General features: G+C 37.0%; 1 protein-coding gene across 47 annotated transcripts in view; it reads left to right on the top strand.

The window, feature by feature from the left end:
- The window catches only part of RIMS2 (regulating synaptic membrane exocytosis 2), a 755,485-nt gene that overhangs the window by 285,574 nt on the left and 444,281 nt on the right, over nt 1–25,630 (top strand). For 21 of the 47 annotated variants that reach the window (XM_017014015.3, XM_017014010.3, XM_017014016.3 and 18 more), the window contains one exon: nt 23,097–23,138. The exons of the other annotated variants lie outside the window; for them this stretch is intronic. In XM_017014015.3, coding sequence (XP_016869504.1) covers nt 23,097–23,138 — 42 coding nt within the window. The remainder of the gene's footprint in view (nt 1–23,096; nt 23,139–25,630) is intronic. 47 annotated transcript variants of the gene reach the window in all.

Below are 25,630 nucleotides of genomic sequence, written 5' to 3' on the forward strand. Positions count from 1 at the left end.
GTGGTCTATCAATTTTGTTGATCCTTTCAAAAAACCAGCTCCTGGATTCATTAATTTTTTGAAGGGTTTTTTGTGTCTCTATTTCCTTCAGTTCTCCTCTGATTTTAGTTATTTCTTGCCTTCTGCTAGCTTTTGAATGTATTTGCTCTTGCTTTTCTAGTTCTTTTAATTGTGATGTTAGGGTGTCAATTTTGGATCTTTCCTGCTTTCTCTTGTGGGCATTTAGTGCTATAAATTTCCCTCTACACACTGCTTTGAATGCGTCCCAGAGATTCTGGTATGTTGTGTCTTTGTTCTCGTTGGTTTCAAAGAACATCTTTATTTCTGCCTTCACTTCGTTATGTACCCAGTAGTCATTCAGGAGCAGGTTGTTCAGTTTTCATGTAGTTGAGCGGTTTTGAATGAGATTCTTAATCCTGAGTTCTAGTTTGATTGCACTGTGGTCTGAGAGATAGTTTGTTATAATTTCTGTTCTTTTACATTTGCTGAGGAGAGCTTTACTTCCAAGTATGTTGTCAGTTTTGGAATAGCTGTGGTGTGGTTCTGAAAAAAATGTATATTCTGTTGATTTGGGGTGGAGAGTTCTGTAGATGTCTATTAAGTCCGCTTGGTGCAGAGCTGAGTTCAATTCCTGGGTATCCTTTTTGACTTTCTGTTTCGTTGATCTGTCTAATGTTGACAGTGGGGTGTTAAAGTCTCCCATTATTAATGTGTGGGAGTCTAAGTCTCTTTGTAGGTCACTCACGACTTGCTCTATGAATCTGGGTGCTCCTATATTGGGTGCATATATATTTAGGATAGTTAGCTCTTCTTGTTGAATTGATCCCTTTACCATTATGTAATGGCCTTCTTTGTCTCTTTTGATCTTTGTTGGTTTAAAGTCTGTTTTATCAGAGACTAGGATTGCAACCCCTGCCTTTTTTTGTTTTCCATTTGCTTGGTAGATCTTCCTCCATCCTTTTATTTTGAGCCTATGTGTGTCTCTGCACATGAGATGGGTTTCCTGAATACAGCACACTGATGGGTCTTGACTCTTTATCCAATTTGCCAGTCTGTGTCTTTTAATTGGAGCATTTAGTCCATTTACATTTAAAGTTAATATTGTTATGTGTGAATCTGATCTTGTCGTTATGATGTTAGCTGGTTATTTTGCTCGTTAGTTGATGCAGTTTCTTCCTAGTCTCGATGGTCTTTACATTTTGGCATGATTTTGCAGCAGCTGGTACCGGTTGTTCCTTTCCATGTTTAGCGCTTCCTTCAGGAGCTCTTTTAGGGCAGGCCTGGTGGTGACAAAATCTCTCAGCATTTGCTTGTCTGTAAAGTATTTTATTTCTCCTTCGCTTATGAAGCTTAGTTTGGCTGGATATGAAATTCTGGGTTGAAAATTCTTTTCTTTAAGAATGTTGAATATTGGCCCCTACTCTCTTCTTGCTTGTAGGGTTTCTGCCGAGAGATCTGCTGTTAGTCTGATGGGCTTCCCTTTGAGGGTAACCCGACCTTTCTCTCTGGCTGCCCTTAACATTTTTTCCTTCATTTCTACTTTGGTGAATCTGACAATTATGTTCTTGGAGTTGCTCTTCTCAAGGAGTATCTTTGTGGCGTTCTCTGTATTTCCTGAATCTGAACGTTGGCCTGCCTTGCTAGATCGGGGAAGTTCTCCTGGATAATATCCTGCAGAGTGTTTTCCAACTTGGTTCCATTCTCCCCATCACTTTCAGGTACACCAATCAGACGTAGATTTGGTCTTTTCACATAGTCCCATACTTCTTGGAGGCTTTGCTCATTTCTTTTTATTCTTTTTTCTCTAAACTTCCCTTCTCACTTCATTTCATTCATTTCATCTTCCATTGCTGATACCCTTTCTTCCAGTTGATCGCATTGGCTCCTGAGGCTTCTGCATTCTTCACGTAGTTCTCGAGCCTTGGTTTTCAGCTCCATCAGCCCCTTTAAGCACTTCTCTGTATTGGTTATTCTAGTTATACATTCTTCTAAATTTTTTTCAAAGTTTTCAACTTCTTTGCCTTTGGTTTGAATGTCCTCCCATAGCTCAGAGTAATTTGATCGTCTGAAGCTTTCTTCTCTCAGCTCGTCAAAGTCATTCTCCATCCAGCTTTGTTCCGTTGCTGGTGAGGAACTGCATTTCTTTGGAGGAGGAGAGGCACTCTGCTTTTTAGAGTTTCCAGTTTTTCTGTTCTGTTTTTTCCCCATCTTTGTGGTTTTATCTACTTTTGGTCTTTGATGATGGTGATGTACAGATGGGTTTTTGGTGTGGATGTCCTTTCTGTTTGTTAGTTTTCCTTCTAACAGACAGGACCCTCAGCTGCAGGTCTGTTGGAATACCCTGCTGTGTGAGGTGTCAGTGTGCCCCTGCTGGGGGGTGCCTCCCAGTTAGGCTGCTCGGGGGTCAGGGGTCAGGGACCCACTCGAGGAGACAGTTTGCCCGTTCTCAGATCTCCAGCTGCGTGCTGGGAGAACCACTGCTCTCTTCAAAGCTGTCAGACAGGGACATTTAAGTCTGCAGAGGTTACTGCTGTCTTTTTGTTTGTCTGTGCCCTGCCCCCAGAGGTGGAGCCTACAGAGGCAGGCAGGCCTCCTTGAGCTGTGGTGGGCTCCACCCAGTTGGAGCTTGCTGGCTGCTTTGTTTATCTAAGCAAGCCTGGGCAATGGCGGGCGCCCCTCCCCCAGCCTCGCCGCCGCCTTGCAGTTTGATCTCAGACTGCTGTGCTAGCAATCAGCGAGACTCCGTGGGCGTTGGACCCTCTGAGCCAGGTGCGGGATATAATCTCGTGGTGCGCCGTTTTTTAAGCCCTTCGGAAAAGCGCAGTATTCGGGTGGGAGTGACCCGATTTTCCAGGTGCCGTCCGTCACCCCTTTCTTTGACTCGGAAAGGGAACTCCCTGACCCATTGCGCTTCCCAAGGGAGGCAATGCCTCGCCCTGCTTCGGCTCGTGCACGGTGCGCGCACCCACTGACCTGCGCCCACTGTCTGGCACTCCCTAGTGAGATGAACCCGGTACCTCAGATGGAAATGCAGAAATCACCGTCTTTTGTGTCGCTCTCGCTGGGAGCTGTAGACCGGAGCTGTTCCTATTCGGCCATCTTGGCTCCTCCCCAGCAGTTTGTTTTTTCAAAGCCAGTAGAGGGTGTCTATGCTGTTTGGGATCTCTCTGACTTCTGTCTCTGACCTCAAAACTCTCTTTTAAAGGGCTAACATGATTTATCAGACGCACCTAGGGCCTGATAAAATTAATTTCCCTTTTGATTAGTTTAAAGTCAACCAAGGAGGGACCTTAATCACATCTGCAAAATCACCTCACTTTGTCATATAATGTAACCTAATAATGGGAGTGATATCTCATCATATTCACAGATCCTGCCAACATTCAAGGGGAGGGATGATGACCAGGGTGTGTACACCAGGTGGCAAGATTTGTAGGAGCCAGGTTAGAATTCTGCTCACTTCAGATTGCAAATACTTTTCCCCAGTTTATTATCTTTTGACTTTGCTTATATTATTCTTTTTACCAATGCATAAAAATAAACATATATTATGATGGATTGTACTCTTTTTTTTTTTTTTTTTTTTTTGAGACAGGGTCAGGCTTTGTTGCCCAGGCTGGAGGACGGTAGCACAGTCATGCTCACAGCAGCCTCAACCTCCCAGGCTGTAGCAATTCTTCCTCCTCAGCGTCCCAAATAGCTGGGACTACAAGTGTGTGCTACCATGTCCAGATATTTTTTTCTATTTTTAAACTCTTAGTAGAGATGGCATCTCTCTAGCCTGTTTAGGCCGATCTCAAACTCCTGAGCTCAAGTGATCCTCCTGCCTTGGCTTCCCAAAGTGGTGGGATTACAGGTATGAGCCACCCTGCCCAGCATGTGTTTTTCTTTTATGGCTCTTGATTTATTTATTTGTAATGGAGATATAATTCATGTGTCATAAAATTAACCCTTACAAATGTACACCTAAGTGGTGTTTAGTTTAATTTTGAAGTTGTCCAACTATTACGACTATCTAATTCCAGAATATTTCCATAAACCCTGGAAAACTTGTGCCCATTAGCAGTCACTTGTCATTCTTCTCTTTCCTCAGTCCTCTGGCAACCACTAATCTACTTTATGTCTCTGGAGTTGCCTATTCTGGACATTTCATAAAAATAGTATCATGCAATTATGTAGCCTTTTGTTACTGGCTCTTTCAGTTAGCATAATGTTTTCAAAGTTCATTGATTATATAGCATGAATCAATAATTCATTCCTTTTTATGATGGAATATTTCATTGTATGTTTATACCACATTTCTTTTATTCATCAGTTGATGGACATTTGAGTTTCTCCTTTTTAGCCTTATGAATAATGCTATTATAGACATTTGTGTGTAACTTTTTGTGTGGACATATGTTTTTAATTCTCTTGTCTGTATTTTTATTATAATCATTCCAGGGAGTATGAAGTGGTTTTTATTTGTATTTCCCTAATGACCAGTGATGTTGAGCATCTTTTCTTGTGTTCAATGGCTATTTATATATCTTCTTTGGAGAAATATCAAATCAAATCCTTTGTTGGGGTTATATTTAAAAGGCCCTTTCTTCTTCACTAAGATTAATACATATTTCTGTTATTGTAATACTGTTATGATTTTATGTTTACATTGTAAAAAATGGATCTATCCAACATTTATTAAAGTATGGTGTTAGGTGAAAAATGAGCAAAGCCTCCAAGAAGTATGGGACTATGTGAAAAGACCAAATCTACATCTGATTGGTGTACCTGAAAGTGACGGGGAGAATGGAACCAAGTTGGAAAACACTCTGCAGGATATTATCCAGGAGAACTTTCCCAACCTAGCAAGGCAGGCCAACATTCAAATTCAGGAAATACAGAGAATGCCACAAAAGATACTCCTCGAGAAGAGCAACTCCAAGATAAATGATTGTCAGATTCACCAAAGTTGAAATGAAGGAAAAAATGTTAAGGGCAGCCAGAGAGAAGGTCGGGTTACCCACAAAGGGAGGCCCATCAGATTAACAGCAGATCTCTTTGCAGAAACTTTAGAAGCCAGAAGAGAATAGGGGCCAATATTCAACATTCTTAAAGAAAAGAATTTTCAATCCAGAATTTCATATCCAGTCAAACTAAGCTTTTTAAGTGAATCAGAAATAAATCCTTTACAGACAAGCAAATGCTGAGAGATTTTGTCACCACCAGGCCTGCCTTACAAGAGCTCCTGAAGGAAGCACTAAACATGAAAAGGAACAACCCGTACGAGCCACTGCAAAAACATGCCAAATTGTAAAGACCGTCGATGCTAGGAAGAAACTGCATCAACTAACGAGCAAAATAACCAGCTAACATCATAATGACAGGATAAAATTCACACATAACTATATTAACCTTAAATATAAATGGGCTAAATGCTCCAATTAAAAGACACAGACTGGCAAATTCGGTAAAGAGTCAAGATCCATCAGTATGCTGTGTTCAGGAGAACCATCTCACATGCAGAGACACACATAGACTCAAAATAAAGGGATGGAGGAAGATCTACCAAGCAAATGGAAAACAAAAAAAGGTAGGGGTTGCAATCCTAGTCTCTTATGAAACAGACTTTAAACCAACAAAGATCAAAAGAGACAAAGAAGGCCATTACATAATGGTAAAGGGATCAATTCAACAAGAAGAGCTAACTATCCTAAATATATATATACTCAATACAGGATCGCCCAGATTCATAAAGCAAGTCCTTAGAGACCTACAAAGAGACTTAGACTCCCACACAATAATAATGGGACACTTTAACACCCCACTGTCAACAAGAGACAGATCAACGAGACAGGAAGTTAACAAGGATATCCAGGAATTGAACTCAGCTCTGCACCAAGCGGACTTAATAGACATCTACAGAAGTCTCCACCCCAAATCAACAGAATATACATTCTTCTCAGCACCACATCGCACTTATTCTAAAACTGACCACATCGTTGGAAGTAAAGCACTCCTCAGCAAATGTAAAACAACAGAAATTATAACAAACTGTCTCTCAGACCACAGTGCAATCAAATTAGGACTCAGGATTAAGAAACTCACTCAAAACCTCTCACCTACATGGAAACTGAACAACCTGCTCCTGAATGACTACTGGATGCATAACGAAATGAAGGCAGAAATAAACATGTTCTTTGAAACCAATAAGAACAAAGAAACAATGTACCAGAATCTCTGGGACACACTTAAAAGAGTGTGTAGAGGGAAATTTATAGCACTAAATGCCCACAAGAGAAAGCAGGAAAGATCTAAAATTGACACCCTAACATCACAACTAAAAGAACTAGAGAAACAAGAGCAAACACACTCAAAAGCTAGCAGAAGGCAAGAAATAACTAAGATCAGAGCAGAACTGAAGGAGGTAGAGACACAAAAAACCCTTCAAAAAATCAGTGAATCCAGGAGCTGGTTTTTTTTTTTTTTTTTTAAAGATCAACAAAATTGATAGATCGCTAGCAAGACTAATAAAGAAGAAAAGAGAGAAGAATCAAATAGACGCAATAAAAAATGAGAAAGTGGATGTCACCACCAAACCCAAGGAAATACAAACTACCATCAGAGAATACTATAAAGACCTCTATGCAAATAAACTAGAAAATCCGAAAGAAATGGATAAATTCCTGGACACATACACCTTCCGAAGACTAAACCAGGAAGAAGTTGAATCCCTGAATAGACCAATAACAGGCTCTGAAATTGAGGCAATAATTAATAGCCTACCAACCAAAAAAAGTCCAGGACCAGATGGATTCACAGCCGAATTCTACCAGAGGTACAAAGATGAACTGGTACCATTCCTTCTGAAACTATTCCAATCAATAGAAAAAGAGGGAATCCTCCCTAACTCATTGTATGAAGCCAGCATCATTCTGATACCAAAGCCAGGCAGAGACACAATAAAAAAAGAGAATTTTAGACCAATATCCCTGATGAACATCGATGCAAAAATTCTCAATAAATACTGGTAAACTGAATCCAGCAGCACATCTAAAAGCTTATCCACTACGATCAAGTGGGCTTCATCCCTGGGATGGAAGGCTGGTTCAACATACGCAAATCAGTAAACGTAACCCCTCATATAAACAGAACCAAGACAAAAACCACATGATTATCTCAATAGATGCAGAAAAGGCCTTCGAGAAAATTCAACAGCCCTTCATGCTAAAAACTCTCAATAAACTAGGTATAGATGAGACATATCTCAAAATAATAAGAGCTGTTTCTGACAAACCCAGAGCCAATATCATACTGAATGGGCAAAAACTGGAAGCATTCCCTTTGAAAACTGGCACAAGACAGGGATGCCCTCTCTCACCACTCCTATTCAACATAGTGTTGGATGTTCTGGCCAGGGCAATCAGGCAGGAGAAAGAAATAAAGGGTATTCAATTAGGAAAATAGGAAGTCAAATTGTCCCTGTTTGCAGATGACATGATTGTATACATAGAAAAACCCCATTGTCTCAGCCCAAAATCTCCTTAAGCTGATAAGCAACTTCAGCAAAGTCTCAGGGTACAAAATCAATGTGCAAAAATCACAAGCATTCCTATACACCAATAACAGACAAACAGAGAGCCAAATCATGAGTGAACTCCCATTCATAATTACTACAAAGAGAATAAAATACCTAGGAATCCAACTTACAAGGGATGTGAAGGACCTCTTCAAGGAGAACTACAAACCACTGCTCAACGAAATAAAAGAGGACATAAACAAATGAAAGAACATTCCATGCTCATGGATAGGAAGAATCAATATCGTGAAAATGGCCATACTGCCCAAGGTAATTTATAGATTCAATGCCATCCCCTTCAAGCTACCAATGACTTTCTTTACAGAATTGAAAAAAACTATGTTAAACTTCATATGGAACCAAAAAAGAGCCCACATTGCCATGACCATCCTAAGCCAAAAGAACAAAGCTGGCAGCATCACACTACCTGACTTCAAACTATACTACAAGGCTATAGTAATCAAAACAGCATGATACTGGCACTAACACAGAGATATAGACCAATGGAACAGAACAGAGCCCTCAGAAAGAATACCACACATCTAAAACCATCTGATCTTTGACAAACGGAACAAAAACAAGAAATGGGGAAAGAATTCCCTATTTAATCAATGGTGCTGGGAAAACTGGCTAGCCACGTATAGAAAGCTGAAACTGGATCCCTTCCTTACAACTTATACAAAAATTAATTTATGATGGATTAAAGACTTAAATGTTAGACCTAAAACCATAGAAATCCTAGAAGAAAACCTAGGCAATACCATTCAGGACATAGGCATGGGCAAGGACTTCATGACTAAAACACCAATGGCAATGGCAACAAAAGCCAGAATAGACTAATGGGATCTAATTAAACTAAAGAGCTTCTGCACAGCAAAAGAAACCACCATCAGAGTGAAGAGGCAACCTACAGAATGGGAGAAAATTTTTATAATCTACCCTTCTGACAAAGGGCTAATATCCAGAATCTACAAAGTACTTAAACAAATTTACAAGAAAAAAATCAAACAACCCCATCAAAAAGTGGGCAAAGGATATGAACAGACACTCCTCAAAAGAAGACATTTATGCAGCCAACAGACACATGAGAAAATGCTCATCATCACTGGCCATCAGAGAAATGCAAATCGAAATCACAATGAAATACCATCTCACACCAGTTAGAATGGCGATCATTAAAAAGTCAGGAAACAACGGGTGATGGAGAGGATGTGGAGAAATAGGAACACTTTTACACTGTTGGTGGGACTGTAAACTAGTTCAACCATTGTGGAAGTCAGTGTGGCAATTCCTCAGGGATCTAGAACTAGAAATACCATTTGACCGAGCCATCCCATTACTGGGTATATACCCAAAGGATTATAAATCATGCTGCTATACAGACACATGCACATGTGTGTTTATTGTGGCACTATTCACAATAGCAAAGACCTGGAACCAACCCAAATGTCATCAATGATAGACTGGATTAAGAAAATGTGGCACATATACACCTTGTAATACTATGCAGCCATAAAAAGGATGAGTTCATGTCCTTTGTAGGGACATGGATGCAGGTGGAAACCATCATTCTGAGCAAACTGTCGCAAGGACAGAAAACCAGACGCTAGATGTTCTCACTCATAGGTGGGAAATGAGCAATGAGAACACCTGGACACAGAGTAGGGAACATCACACACTGGGGCATGTTGTGGGGTGGGGGGAGGCGGGAGGGATAGCATTAGGACATATACCTAATGAAAATGAGTTAATGCGTGCAGCACACCAACATGGCACATGTGTACATGTATAACAAACCTGCACGTTGTGTACATGTATCCTAGAAATTAAAGTATAATAATAATGATGAAAAATAAGAAGTACAAAGAAAAAAAAGAGGATAAGCCTGTATTTATCGTTTTTCCCACCAGATGGCGAACATGCGTCCTAAAAGCAAAAGATACACAATTCTCTGATTTTTCCACCTGAACTAGTTGCAGAGCTTGTTTAGTTGACATTTGAGATTGTAGAAAACAAGCCTTCACATGTATCGCTGCCTTTCATATTCAAATATGATATTTATTCCCAAATATTTATCTCAGTTCTGAGATTTCCAAGTACTAGACTTGTATTTACAACTCCAAGTTCTATAATCTTACCTTGTGTTCCACAAATATTTCAAAATCGAGACATTTAAAATGTAAGTATATACTTCCTCCGAAAGTAGCAGCTCCTTTGTCATCCCCTAGCCCATCTTATTGCACCATCAATCATTCTTATGGCCATTTAAAGATACTTAGGTATCATTTTTCTAATCTTCCTCTTGATTTTATAATATGTACATATTTATGATTTTGATTAATTTCATCCCCTTCCCCATCAACTCCCCACAATATGTTTTTCTTCCTTTCTGGCCTCCTGCTTTTCAACTTTATTTACTGCTCTCCATTTTCTACTTGGTTTCCTGAAACGTGATATTAAAGTGTAGATATGAAGTCATTAAATTGCTAACTTTTGATGCTTTCTCATTTTGGACTTAAAGTTCAAATTCTTAACTTTATAAGAGAAATGAACATTTACTGAGTACCTACAATGTTCTAGACTTTGTGAGAAAAATTTAATGCATGTAATTTTAATTCCCATAAAAATGTTATAAAGTGCTATTTAAGATATCCTTTTATACAAAAATAATTTTAACATACCAAAATTAGAGGTAGATTTTCCAGTGGAACATAGGTTTTTCTAACTCAAAAGCCTGTTATGCCCTCTTTTGAGACTCACTATTATTTATCTTTTCTTACCTCATCTCACACCACTTTTTTTCCTTTCCCCTATAATCTAGCCTCAGCAGATCACTAATGAATTTTTAAAAATCTTTCCTTCTTAAAATTTTAAGTATTTGCTCTGCTTTTCCTCTTATCTAGAATTCTATTCTAGCTATGTATGTGTGAATTCAACAAATATTTATTGAGTATTGATTGTGTGTCAGATTTCTAGATGCTTAGAGTATAGCTGTGAACAAATAGACAAAACTACTTTTTAGTTGGGAAAGACAAAGAAATAAGAAATAACTAGTATGTTGGATAAGAGTGTAGCTTTAGGCCTGTGCATTTGGCTGTCCAGGTTGTGTGCAGCAGAACTCCAGGGGGCACAATTCACTCAGATGTGAGTGGTACAACTTGGAGTTCTGCACCTCTGAGGTCCCAGTGACAAGTGCTGTGGAGGAAGATAGTATAATAATACATGGGAGGAGGGAAAGGGATTTTTTGTGGGGAAACAGTTTATAATTTTAAATAGGGTGTTAGGGAAGGCATTGCTTAAGATTTAGTTAAGACTTAAAGGAAGTGAAGAAGTAAGACGTGTGGATATCTGAGGGAAGAGCACTCTAGGCAGAGAAATAGCAAGTGCCAAGATTGTTAAGTGAGGGTGTGCCTTGGCATATCGGCCTAAATCTTACCTTTTTCTTCAAAGCCTAACTCAAGTATTCCTAGTTACTTGAGCCCTTCCTGTATGTTTTTCTAGCAAGAATTATATTTTTGCTTAGAAAGGATACCATTATTAATGCACTTACCACTGTCTGATCTTCAGTATACTTGTCAATGTTTCTTTTCTCTTACTCAATTTCAAACAACTTGAGAGCATACTTACTTTTACATGTTTGGGTCTATACATACCAAGTTAAGGTTCTAGAAATGGAATACTAGTTGAATTAGAATGAATTGAACTAAATCACTGAAAAAGTAGTAGCTACCCATTATCTTCTTCATATCTTTTACTTGTTACAATTATCCTGTGTTTACAAAAATGGAATTTACTTAAAGAATCTGGTAATTTTCCCTGCCCCTTAGCCTCATTTTGCCCCAATGTCTTTGTGAAACCATCTTAACATGCATAAAAGAATTAAACTACTTGTTGCTACATATCAGATTGATCTTTAGTGTTCGATTTTTTCTTAGAAACTGGCAATGGTGATGGATCATTTTAAGTGTATTAGCATATTTGAAAAGAAATTGTTATGCCTATTTGCTTTAACCTGTCACATTCTAGCTTCATTTTAAATAATTTGCTTGAATGTCTTGCTTTTTTTCCATGTTCTCCTATCCATTTTTGGGCAGCGTGACCTATGTCCCAGTTTGTCACTGCCAGTCCTGGCTCATATATGTTATATTGGCATAATTATTAAGAGCACCCTTTTTACTCTCAAAAGTATCCTGGGGTTGACAATAAATTACATGGTCTTCCTATTCTTCTTTGAGGCTTTCTATGTGATAGCTCATATACTGTGCTGCCCAATGCTTGTTAGACCTATTGAAAATTCCCAATGGAATCATACTGCAGCAAATATTACTTCAGGTACATAGTCTACAATATTGATTAAGTATATACTTTATATATAACAGTTTATATGGAGAAATACAAAGACAGTAGAAGATTCTCTGTGTCATATGAATTTATAATCTAATAAGTCAGGATTAATGATATAGTTATATAAACATAAATATTTGAAATGGGCAAATATAAATGTAACAAAATGTAATTTAGAAATATATAAAAGTAGTCAGATAATTGACTACTTTTGTACATTAACAAATTTAAATGATGGAACCAAATAGGGAAATTTGGGAGAAGTTTTGTAGATTTGTTAAAACCAACTAAATTTTAATAAAGGAATTTTAAAAGATAGAAGATACAGCATTGTGTAAAAATAGCATGACAGCAAGTTTGTATAGTATAGACATTTCTATATTATCAGTTTTTCTTCTGTCACTCTTATTTTATTTTGGTCCTCAGATACAGTGAGGTTTGTTAATCATTTGTCAGTTTATGGCACTTCGGTGATTTGTGTTTTCTTCCCACTTAAATATATATCTTTGCATAATACAGAATGTTGCTTTTTGTATGCATGCGTTTTAAATTACAGAAAGGATATGGTGCTTTAGATCTTACATTTTAAAAGATTCGTTCATGTGGGAATATCAATTTGTTGTTCCAGACTGCTGCATTATAATGTGGTAGACAGAATAATGGCCTCCAAAAATGTCCACACCCTGATCCCTGGAACCCCTGGATGTTACCTTACCTGGCAAAGGGACTTTGCAGACATGATTAAGGTTATGGACCTTGAGATAGGGAGATTAACTTAGATTGTCTATGTGGGCCCAATCTAATCACACGAAGCCTTAAAGGTAGAAAACTTTTTTTTTTTTTTTTGGCTGCGTCAATGAGATGAGATAGAAGGAGGAGAGATTCAAAGCAGGAAAAGGACGAAAATGCCTATTGTTGAGTTTGAAGATGGGGGAAGGGGACCATGAGTCAAAGAATTTGCCAGCCTCTAGAAGCTGGAAATCTCCCTCAGTTTATAGCCAGCAAGAAAATGGGGACCTTGGTCTTACAACCACAACGTGAATTCTGCCAATAGTTTGAATGAGCAAAAAATAGACTCCCCTCAGAACCTCCAAAAAGAGACTCAGCTGGCATCTTAATTTTAGTCCAATGAGACTTCTACCAGACTTTCTGACCTACATAAGTGTAAGACAACAAACTTGTGTTTTGAACCATTTAATTGGTGGTAATTTTCTTTACCTCAACAATGGAAAATTAATAGATACTCCCTTGTGTGAATATACTATATTTTATTTGACATCCCATTAGTGATGGACAATCTAGGCTATGTCAAAACTCGTTACTATAAACTGTGAGTCAGTGAACATCCTTGTACATGTCTCCTTATGGACCTATGCAAGACTTTGTAGTCTGTCTATGTAGATGTATAATTAATGTGGCATAGGGTATGTATACTTTATTTCACTAGTTTTGTTCTCAAAAATGCCTCAGTCCATACTTCTACTTGTAGTGCTTAAGGATTTGTGATTTCCCATATCATTACTAATATTTGATATTACTAAGCATTTCATGTGTTTGCAGTCTGGTGGATATGAGGGGGTATTTTTGTTTTAATTTGCAGTTTCCTCATTACATTGAAGCTGAGGATCCCCTCACATACATATTAGCTACTTGGATTGCCATTACTATGAAGTATTTATTTATCTGTCAATTTGAAAAAATTAGCTCCACATCATTTTTGTCTGTTGTTTTTTTTAGCAGGCATTTTAATGTTGATGTAGTTAAATTCATTACTTTTTAAAATTTATAGTTTGTGCTCTTTTAGTCATGATTAAAAAGTCAGTCATCATTCAGAATCCCTAGAAATACTCTTTTACACTTCTACTACCAGCTTTACAGTTTTTACCTTTCTCATGTATATTTTAAATTAAGTCAGAGTTCACTTGTGGACATGATGAAGTATGAATCCCAAGTTTTATTTCCCCATATGGTGAGCCACTGTTCCCAGCAGAAGCTATTAGACAAACTATTCTCACATCACTGGTTTTTGCACTTATATATAATGTTTATAATGCACTTATATATAATTGGGCCACTTTTTAGCTCTCTGTTCTGTCTTACTGGTCTATGTTTTACCCTGTGATAGTACCACACTGTAATTTTTTTTTTAGGTTTTTTGGCATTTTTTACATAGATGATTGCATCACTTATAATGAAAAAAGCCTTATTTTTTCTTTTCAAGTCGTAAGCCTTTTATTTCATTTTTTTATCCTATTTTACTGGCTAGTGCCTCCACTAAAATGTTAGATAGAAGTGGTGAGAGTAACGTCTTTGCCTTCTTTCCAGTCCTAGGGTGAATGCTTTGAGTCTTTCACAATCAAATGTGATGTTAGCTATAGGTTTTCCATAGATGTCCTTTATTAGACTGAGAAAATTGTCTTCTATTACTAATTTGCTGAGAATTCTTTCATGAATGGCTATGAAATTTTGTCATTTGCTTTTTTTATGCCTCTGTTGAAAGGATCACATGGTTTTTCCTCTTTCGTCTCTTTATATGGTGAATTACACTGATTGTTTTCAAATGCTGCATCAACCTTGCATTTCTGGGATACTCCTCTTGGTCATGATGGTATTATTCTATTTATGTATTGCTGGATTGGATTTACTAATACTTTGTTTGAAATTTTTACAATTTATGTTCATGAGGGAGAGTTGTATGTAGTTTCCTTTCCTTGTAACATCATTGATTTAATCAGGGAATGCTGGCCTCCTAAGATAAGTTAGGAAATGATCTTCTATCTTCAATTTTCTAGAATAGTTTTTATAGAGCTGTTATTTCTTTAAATGTTTGATAGAATTTGCCTCTACTGCCATTTGGGCCTAGAGTTCTCTTGTAGCTCTGTCTTTATTTTTATTTATTTATTTATTCTATTTTTTTCTATTTTTGAGATGAAGTCTTGCTTTGTCGCCCAGGCTGGAGTGCGGTGGCATGATCTCCGCTCACTGCAATCTCCGCCTTTGGCAATTCTCCTGCATCAGCCTCCCAAGTAGCTGGGACTACAGGTGCACACCACCACACTCGGCTAATTTTTTTTGTATTTTAATAGAGACGGGGTTTCACCATGTTGCCCAGGCTGATCATGAACTCCTGAGCTCAGGCAATCCTCCCGCCTCCGCCTCCCAAAGTGCTGGGATTACAGGCATGGGCCACAGCACCCAGCCAGCAATGTCTTTAAAGACTATGAATTCAGTTTTTTCAATGATTATGCAGCCATTCAGGTTACTTATTTATCCTTGAGCATATGGATATTTTTACAGTCTAGTAAATATATAGCCATGGTAGCTATATTTATTCTAGGGTTGTCTAAATAATCATTTAAAAGTATTCTTTCTTTTCCTTTTAAAATATTAGAGGCAGAATAGACATTTTCATACTCTTTTTCAACATAACCTTTTTCATGTTCCATACTAATCTGTATATCTTACACCTATATTTAATTCCAATTTCAACTAACCTTTATATCTGCCAGTACTATTGGGATAATTTTAGTGATAATTTCTCGTTGTCTCAGGCTGGACTTAGTGACTTTTTACTTTTCATCTGAGATATTCAATCATTGTCATTCACCTTTACCTTGCAGAAGTTTTGCCTTTTAGTCTGCTATCCACTTGTTTTGTCCTTCTTATTTAAAGTCTAGTGAAGCCGTTATCCATTTCCTGTAGGGCATGACTTCACTAGATTGTCCACTTTTGAAGCACTTGCTTTTCAATAATACTTTAACTATTTTATGCCAATATCCAATGTCATAATCGGTGACATTTAATTGAGCAAGACACTACTTATTACTTGCTATTTCTTGACAATATCTGTAAATTCATTTTTAACAAGCTTTCTTTCAGCGTCATATATTCATTTGTAAAATATATTTTGGTATTGATAATTGTAGCAAGGAAAATTCTTTAGTAGTAAAATTACAATCAAAGAAAAGCTAGTAAGGCATTAAAATGGGAGTATTTGTTAGCCAATGGTGGTGGTTTTATTAGCCAGCAGCACTCTTTTTTAAGCTGTTGTGGAGAGAATTTTAACACCAAAATGACCATTTTTGAGCCTCTTTAATTTATTCCAACACTAATGTGTGTCTTAGTTACCCAAGTCTCTCATGCATTAACAACATAAAATTTAATAAATTGTAAGGCGTTCTTAACTGATATTTGCGTATATGCTCATATAATCCTTTTTCACAGATATTTTACAGATATATTAGCAGTAGAAGTATATATGTGAGTGTGCATAGTGGACTGTGGGAGTACATTGCCTCTAGTTGGGCTTTTATGGTAATATTAATGCTATATGCTGACTTCTCACCCACCTTTCACCTTCCCCTTTGGCTCTCCCAATACACACCAGTGAAGTAATTCCGGTATTGGTCAAGGATATAATGGATAAGGACTACAAAATTTGGCAGCCATACTAAGGTGAGGCAAGGGTAGGGGCTGGTGAATGTAGAAGTGTTTATTTAGATCTTTTTGTAAAGCAAATAAACCAGTAATAAAGAAAACTGGTTTGAAATAAATTTCTTCTTTTATTTGCCTCACTGGATATTTTTCCCTCTTAGAGCCAATGTGCTAAGACAGGCCTGGGATGAACCAGTTAGGAAGTACCCTTTGGAGGGTCAAAGGGAAAGAAGAGTGAGACTAAGGAGCTAGCCACTAAATTGATCTTGTTTATTACTGAAGTTTAAGGAGCAGAAATAGTCTTTTCAAAGGTCATACAAGGTCTAGTCACCTCGAGGGGGAGTTGGAGTCAACACTTTTAATAAAGATGAAGATACATTTTCCTATTGCATATTTTTAATTTTCCAAGGATTCAGGCATTTAAATTGGTCAATTCATAATAACATGAATTCAGCATCATGGTGGTTTTTTACTTTGAGATTTTTTACTCATTTACATTGAAGCATATGTACTTATATTCTCTGCCTTCCTGCTTGTTACTATAGATAAGCAATCCCTGCTCTAACTGTGCATGGAACCTACCCTATTTTATCTACTAAGGACGTAGCTCATGGAATTCTCTGAAATACAGTATGAGATTGGGTGGGGAATAAAGTTTTATAAAAATAATTATTATAGTTCAAATTTTTATGCTAAATGATATGGAATAACTGAATAACTTGAATAATTTTCATAATTTAAAGTGTCTTTCATATTGGGGATTTGACTTCTGCTTATTCTGTTTAAAACTAGTGTTATGTGTCAAATGTAAGACGTAACTTAGATTAAAGTGGTGGTTCTCAAACTTTTTGGTCTTGGGGCCTCTTTACAATCTTTAAAATCCTTGAAGACCTCAAAGAATTTTTGTTTATGTGGATTATATTTATTACTATTTACCATATTAGAAATAACTGATAAAAAAATTTAAATATGCATTTATTAATTTAAAAATAACAGTAAACCCACCATATGACAACTAACTGTATACAGTAGACAGAATTCTAAGTTATGTACAATGAGACTTACCCTTCCCTTGGGTATGTATAAAACCTGTGACTTGCTTCTAGCTAGTAGAGTATGGCAAAGATGTTGGGATAGTCAGTTATATAGTTATATCACATTGTATGAGATTATGTCTTCAATTGGAGCAAGAGATTCTTCTGCTGGTTTAGAAGTAAATAAACTGCCATGTTGTAAAAGGGCTGTGAGAGAGCCATGTGTCAGGGATCTGTGTGGGGTCTCTAGAAGCTGAGTAGTACATCTCTGTCAGCAGGTGAGAAAGTGAGGACCTAAGTCTTTGAGCCACAAGGAACTGAGGCATGCCAACAATCACATGAGCTTGCAAAAGGATCCTGAGCTCAGAAATAAACGTGGTCCAGTGGACATCTTGATAACAGCCTTCTCAGGCCCTGAGTCAGAGGATCATTTAAACCATACTTGGACTCCTGACCTATGGAAACTGCAAGAAAATAAATATACATCATTTTAAGCTATTAAAAATATGGTTATTTGTTTTGCAGCAATGGCAAACTAGTACAGCATATTTCAAAAAAAGTAAAGAAAAATTTAGTGAGAAAAGTGACATTATTTTACATTTTTGGGAAATTCCATTATTGTCTAACTTAGTGGAAGACAGCTTCTGTATTCAATATATTGAGATATCACACATACTTTAGCCTCTGGAAAACTCCACTGTACACCCAAGAGAGAATGAGAATCAAAAAGGCAAATAACATTTTAGTATTATGCATATAGGTTTGACCCTGCAGATCCTCTGAAAGGGATTTGGGGATTCTACTGAGGGCACTGGATTACACTTTTAAGAACTGCTAGATTTTGGAATAAATTTTCCGTAGTCTCCTCCTCTACCACCAACAGAGTATTGGATTGTATGTGGACAAGATTATATAAGGTAACATAACATATATGGAACACTCAGCTTCCTTGACTGTTTTTCACTTGATTTCTGCTTTTGTCCTTGAGTTTGTCTATGTGGTTTATTTTCTCTGCTCCTCCTGGTAAGAAAATGCAGTAGATCCTTACTGACTCTTATTTCTAGGAGGAATAGATAGGAATATGTTTAATATGTAGTGAATTGAGACAGAGTTTTTCTAAATCATCCTGGCATATTTTGACTGTGGTATTTACCTGCAAAGGTGCTGTAGCCATTGAGAGATTTGATTTAAAACCCAAGAGGAGTTTTTAAACTGTAGTTTTTCACTTATAAGGAGTTTGTAGAAATTGTCTTTTTTTTTTCTTTGAGAGTCTTGCTCTGTCACCCAGGCTGGAGTGCAGAGGTACAGTCATAGATCACTGCAACCCCTAGCCCCTGAGATCAAGCAATCTTCCTACCTCAGCCTCCTAAGTAGCTAGGACTATAGGTGAATGCCATCACACCCAGCTAATTTTTTATTTTTGTTAAGATGGGGTCTGACTATGTTGCCCAGGCTAGTCTCAAACTCTGGCCTCAAGCAATCTTCCTGCCTTGGCCTCTTAAAGCGCTGGCATTACAGGATGAACCACCACACCCAGCCTCATTTAAAAAAAAGTGTGTGTATCTATTTTTATGTATGTGTTTTTTTCTGTATGTGTAATACTTAATAATGGTACTAATTGTTATTTCTCTTGAGTGTTTTTGTTTAATTTTGTGTGACCTTTTTTATCCCTAGGAATCCTGAAGAGTGAATTAGTCCCATGAATCTCAAGATAGCTCAATATATGATAAATTCACTATTGTCATAAGATTTGGGATGCATCTTAGTGTTATTAACATTAATATGTTGTGTAGATTTCTTCTTTAGTAAGCTGCAGCTACTCTTGTTTTTTTAAATAACTAAGTCAGCAAAAATAAATAGTACAGAGAGTCAAAATTTTTGTCACATATAATCAACTATTTTTATTTCTGTGATACATACCTGAGAGTTGCTAACATCTATTATTTGACACAGTTGGAAATTTTAAGGTATGGTCTGGAACTCTTTGTTTGGAAATAAGGTCTTTCAAGGTTGGTTTGAAGGTTATTAGTAGAACAGTTCTCACTTTGCTTACCTAATTACACAGTGCTTGAGCTGGAAAATTAAACTTTATTTTGACTTCCCAATCCCTACTAATGCAATCTCTCTTCCACTTTTTCTTTTCATTTCTTCTTTTATTATATTTCCACCTGAACTTTTTTGTCTATTTCTTAGAGCTAGTTTTCACCTTATTTTTCCTCATTGATATTTTCAAATTCCTATTGAGTTTTCTGTATATTTAATCTCTTTAATCACTTTAGTCTTCCTTTCCTCTGCCTCAGACTTAATCAGTTGTGATAAAGCAGGATTAATAAATTTTAGTTACATCTCTCAGAAATATTTATAATATTCTTCATATAACCAAGATGGCAAGACTACAGTGTGTGGGGAGTCAAAATTGTTGCAATATAAAATAACTTTTTCATTTCTGTGATATATATCTGAAACTCACTTATATGAAAAATTTAACATAAAGTTTTGAGATATAACTTAAAACCCCTGTCTGGAAAGTGGTAAGACAACAGATTCTCTTCTATTTGACTTCGTTTAATAAGAATTAGAGTCATGAGGGTGGAAGGATTATGAAGATTTGATTTGTGCTCTTGCAATATTTCTTTTTTCTGTCTAAACATGTTTGAATCTATGCTTTATTGTTTTATTCTCTCAGAAAACATAAGGCTTAAGGGTTATGTTTATCTTCAAGGCTGAAGGCCTTGTTCTTTTTATCTGTATTTTTACATCACCTTTGGATTTTAAATTCCAAGGACCCTTAGAAACTATAACACTAACTTACATTTTAAATGAGAGTTCCATAAGAAGTTGCTGAATGACAGATACAGTAGTACCGTGGAAGGAGCACTGGACTATAAATCACAAGCTCTAGGTACTAGTTCTAACTTTGTCACCAGCCATTTGGTCCAAAAAGCCTTGGATGAAACAGTGCATCACATCTCTTTTCTGTAGACGGAGGAGGTTTAGATTCTATTTTAAATGTGATAAGATACTATTGTAGGGTTTAAACATGGAAGGAGCATGATATTATTTTGTGTGTGTGTGTGTGTGGGCAATCTTTGGTGGAGAATGGTTTGTAGAGGACAAGATTAATGCACCGAGAAGCTAGGAGATTATTGAAGTCATCCATTAGAGAGATGTTGGTAGATGGAACTAGAATTATAGTAGTGAGATGGAAAATGTTCATGGATTTGTGTTCCATTTTGAAGATAGAGTTGATAGAACCTACCGATAGATTTGATTTGTGTGGTGGAGTGTGAAAGCAAAAGAGATATCAAGGTTAATTCCTAGATAAATCATGGTGTTGTTTTAAGACAGAAAAAAAATGGGAGGAACAGGTTTGGGTGAGGAAATCAGGAATTCTGTTTGGCCTTGTTATGTTTGAGATGCCCTTTTGACTTCCGTTTGGGGATTCCAAATTGACAGATGGTTAAATGAGTCTGGAGTTTTAGGGGAAGATAAGGGCAAAGATATACAGAAGATATTTAAAGCCATGGGACCTAAGTCACCGGGAAGGGGGAGCTGTAAATAAAAAGAGCAGAGAGGGTTCACAACACAGCCAAAACAGGGCCTTGGACATTCCACACATTTAAAGATCTAAGAGAGGAATGAGAGCCAACAAAAGACACTGTGAAAAAATTGACACTGTGAAAGAAAATCAGAAGAATGTGTCTCAGGAATGAAGAGTAAAAATGGTTTAAAAGTCATGGATAGCATTAGTGTCAAATGATACAGATAAGTCATGGTAAAAAAAGAACAGAGAATTGTCTGTTTAGTTTGATAACATGCAAGTAATTGGTGAGAACAATCTCAATAGAACATTAGTGCTAGAAAATTGATTAGTATGGATTTAAAAGAGGATGTGAAATGAAAACATGGCCATAGCAACTAAAGACAACTTCTTCAAGAAATTTTGCTGTGAAGAGGAGCAGAAAAATGGGGTAGTACCTGGAAGGGAATATGAGGTCAAGGGAAATTCTGTTAAGATAGGAAATAATATAGTAATAAAATCACTGATAACTTGATTCACATATACAATTAATATTATTTGTTTATCATTACAAGTATCATTGGAACCAAGGGAGTTCTAAAATAGACTAAAGAGTAAATAAACTAGGTATTTTATGGAGGAGCTGGTAATAAAAAGGGTAAGACAGATGGAAAATTGATAGAATAGATCTTGTTTATATTATATTTTCCTTTCTTTTCTATTTTCACATTTGGTGCTTAAACACCTTTACTTTTAAGTAGCTAGGATCTTTGATTAATCCTGATCTCTGTCCATATTTACAGGTCAGACAAATTATATTTTTTAAGTTGATAAGATTAGATTGAAATACATTTAGATTTGCATGAGTTTATTTGCATCAGATCTTCTGTTTTGGCTGAAAAAAGACTAAAAATTTTATTTGCTTACCTTTCACCAAAGGAGGAAAGGGGGATGATGGAAGAGGCTAAGAAGATGTCTATTCCTAGACTACATTTCATAGGCTAGATCTGGGTTTTATGGATTGAGTGATTTCAGGCCAAAAGAGCTATTTTCCCGAGAGTTGTTTTGAAGCACAGGAAAACAAGCAGCAATTCTTCAGTTTCCAAATGGCAGAATATATAACAGAGTTGATCATAATATTTTTCTTAAAATACTGTCTTTTATTGTCTTCCGGGCTACCACACTCTCTCTCTTGACTTTTCTCTTACCTCTGTGGCTGCTCCTCTTCTGTTTCCTTCACTGGCTTCTCCTTCTTTAACTGATGAGTTAATGTGGAACTTAGCTCCTCAATGCTTTGTCATAAACCTCTTATTTGCGTGTTTTTCCTTTTAAATTTTATCTCCGGGTGATCTCATCTACTTGCTTGGTTGAAATCATTACTAACACGCTGATGCTTCCTAAAGTTATATCTTCAGTTGAGAACTCTCTTCTGAACTGCAGAGTGACATATTTAATTGCTTACTTCTCTGTCTTGTTAGCTGTCTTGCATGCACCTCAAATTCAGCAATCCATCATCTTCCCCTTTCTTCTCCCTCAACCTGCTTCTCCTTTAGCATTCTTTGTCTCAGCAAATTTTAAGACTGTCTACTTGGTACTTAAGAGATAAATCTAAGAGTTACTTTTTACACCTATCTTGACTGTGACCAATCAACGACTAAGTCCTGTTGATTCGACTTCTACCTTTTAAGTCTATTCTTTTTTCTCTATCTTGTTATGATCACTTTAATCCAGGCCAACTAAAATCTTGCCTGGACTATTACATTAGCTTTCTAAATGATCTCTCTGCATCCACATACAGTGAGATAATATTTTGGGGTATTTATGGTTATATGTCCTCCTATGTGTTTCTTGTTAACTCCTGAATCTTCTCCATTCTGACTGCTAGGACTTGATATATCTGTTGACTCAAAAAGCATTGCTACAGCAAAACACATAATTATTCATGGATTTGATTAAAAATCAGAATCTCAACAGTTTTCCATGCTCTATAGGATGTGGCTACTGTTTCTTCTCCAGCTATTTGATTTCTCCCTGAATTGGCCTCTTGTGGTTCTTTGATTATGCCATAATCAGTGTCATCTCTTGATCTTTGTACATCTTTATATATGAGTATTCCATATCTGGAATACTCCTTTGTCCCACTTTTGGCTTGGCCAATGCTTATCATTCCATGTTTCTCATCTTGAATCTATTTTTTTTTTTTTAGGAAAACTTCCTCTGAACTTCTGAACTCCAAGATTATTTCAAGGTAACCTGTTATTACAAGTTTTCTTAACATTTCTAATCTGAATTCTCAATAACACATATAATTTCTTAGTCTCTGTCTTCCCTGCTATATTACAGATAAAAACCCCTGTAAGGGCTGGATGGTGTCCTCCCTACTTCCCTTTTCCTTTTCTTTTTCTCTTCTTCCCTCCTCCCTCCACTCCTTTTTCTTTCTTTCCTGTGAGCTCTTTAGTACTTAGAAAAGTACCTATGATACTTTAGTCAGTATTTAAATACTTGTTGAGTGAATGAGTGAATTTTGAACAGTGATTTATTCTCCCAATACCTGCATAAAGCACAGTACCTTGAATTGCTGTAACCTTGAGATTCGTCACCTTTGGCTGAGGACTGGAATTCAGACTGAGGGCACCAACAAGTGGGGAGGCTCCATCCTCAAGTGGCTTTATAATCAGCACATATTACTGATGAGAGGATATGAGTAGACTTAGAGGACTGTGGAGGCATATTTGAAATGCCTGGGTACTTGCGCATTTATAGGAGGTCATTTAGCAGGAAGCTGACGTCCTGCTAAACACAGGTAGGGTAAAAAATCCAGGGAAATTTGAGATATTAGTCTTGATGTAATCCCTTTTGTAACTAAAGCATGATGAAGCAGAAGGCATTTGGGATTCAGCATAAAATTTTGAAGGAACTTTGTAAGTCAGATAATCTTAGCTTCTGCATAATTCAGTCTTCCTTTACACAAATCCCTTATGTCCTCTTCTTGAATACATTTAAGGGCAGCAAGGTAGAATCTAACAGCAATTGTTTGAGCCTTTGTCACAGGACTAATTCTAACCAGTTCACTCTTCAGTAGCTCTCCAAAGACTTCTGCCTATATGGGAATAGAAAAAAATGTTCCCATTAGAATCACCATTAATATTGCCTCTAAGCTGAGCCTCCTTAGAAGCAATTGTATTAGTTCTAGTGGCCTCCTGGGCTATGCTGACAAGGAAGGTGGGCAGGGAAAGATAAAAAAGAAAGAAAGGAGAAGGTAGGCAGTGGAAGAGAGTCAGCCAAGTACCTTCCAACTCACTGTTTCCCATTTACACTCAATCAGTGGCAAGCAGCTAGTCAGTACTTGCAGCATATTTAATTGAATGTATTATATAGCTGGCAATGACAATATATTCTATTTTATGAGAAGTGTTCTGTCATATGCAAGTTCTAGTGAAAACAAAGTACTTTAAACTTTATTGTTATACCTTTATGTAGATATTTTTTCTTCAGTATTGAACCTAATGTCCTTTAAAAATTTTTATTGTAAATATTTAAGGTCTACAACATGATGTTTTGATATACATATAGATACTAAAAAGGTTACTTTACTCAAGCAAATTAACATATCCTAATGTTCTTAAAGCTTCTAAAGCACTTTTTTCTGACAGCCAATGTCAAAGTGAAACAAATATTTGTATTTATAGAATAGGTAGCCTTTGGGAGAAAAGATCCCTCACCGCCTTTTTTCATAGTGTAATGAGTAGAGAGAGGAATTATATGAAAGAAAGGAATTATGAATGGGCACTCTTGGAGGCCAATGTTATTCCATAATATTTCATTTGTTCACATATTTTGCTGAAACACATTTATAGTTGTGCAAATGACTATTATTTCTAATATCTTATATAATAGCAATGTGCAGTCAATATTTGTTTCTCAAGGAATCTAGGTGTACTTGGAAGTTACTAGATAGCAGAGGTGACTTGCAGAGGCAGTTTGCAAGTTTAGGTGTGAGTTCTTGAAGTTCCAGGGCTATAAACATTCCTTATATTGTGGCTGTTGGTGAATGTAACTATTGGAGATGGAGTTGAAGCTTATTCATGTTGATATAGCTCCCTGAAATTGTAATGTTGCTTTCAGTGGTTCTCTTGTTAGTTACCAAGGAAATATATACTTGGAACAAGCAGTCCTAACGCTAAAAGGATTTTCCAAATTTTTTTTTCAGGGATCTTGGTCCTCTTTCTTTTAATTGGTAGAATCTTCAGGTGTCACTCTGGACATTCTCATTGTGGAGCTTAAATCTAGGTTTGGTACTCTATAACTAACTCTTGTATTCAACAAGAAATATATTTCTGCTGTTGCCAGCTTTTATTTTTATTTAATTAAATTAATTAATTTATTTTTGAGTCGGAGTCTCACTCTGTCACCCAGGCTGGAGTGCAGTGGCGTGATCTTGGCTCACTGCAACCTCTGCCTCCTGGGTTCAAGTGATTCTCCTGCCTCAGCCTCCCGAGTAGCTGGGATTACAGGCACCCGCCGCTACATCTGGCTAATTTTTTGCATTTTTAATAGAGACGGGGTTTCACCATGTTGGCCAGGCTGGTCTCAAACTCCTGGCCTCAGGTGATGCACCCACCTCGGCCTCCCAGAGTTCTAGGATTACAGGCGTGGGCCACCACACCCAGCTGTTGCGAGGTTTTAGGTGTGGGAACTGCTCTTGCAAAACCTGCTTTTGCACTGGATTATTAAAGCAAC

The sequence above is a fragment of the Homo sapiens genome, chromosome 8, assembly GCF_000001405.40.
Source record: "Homo sapiens chromosome 8, GRCh38.p14 Primary Assembly".
NCBI lineage: Eukaryota > Metazoa > Chordata > Mammalia > Primates > Hominidae > Homo > Homo sapiens.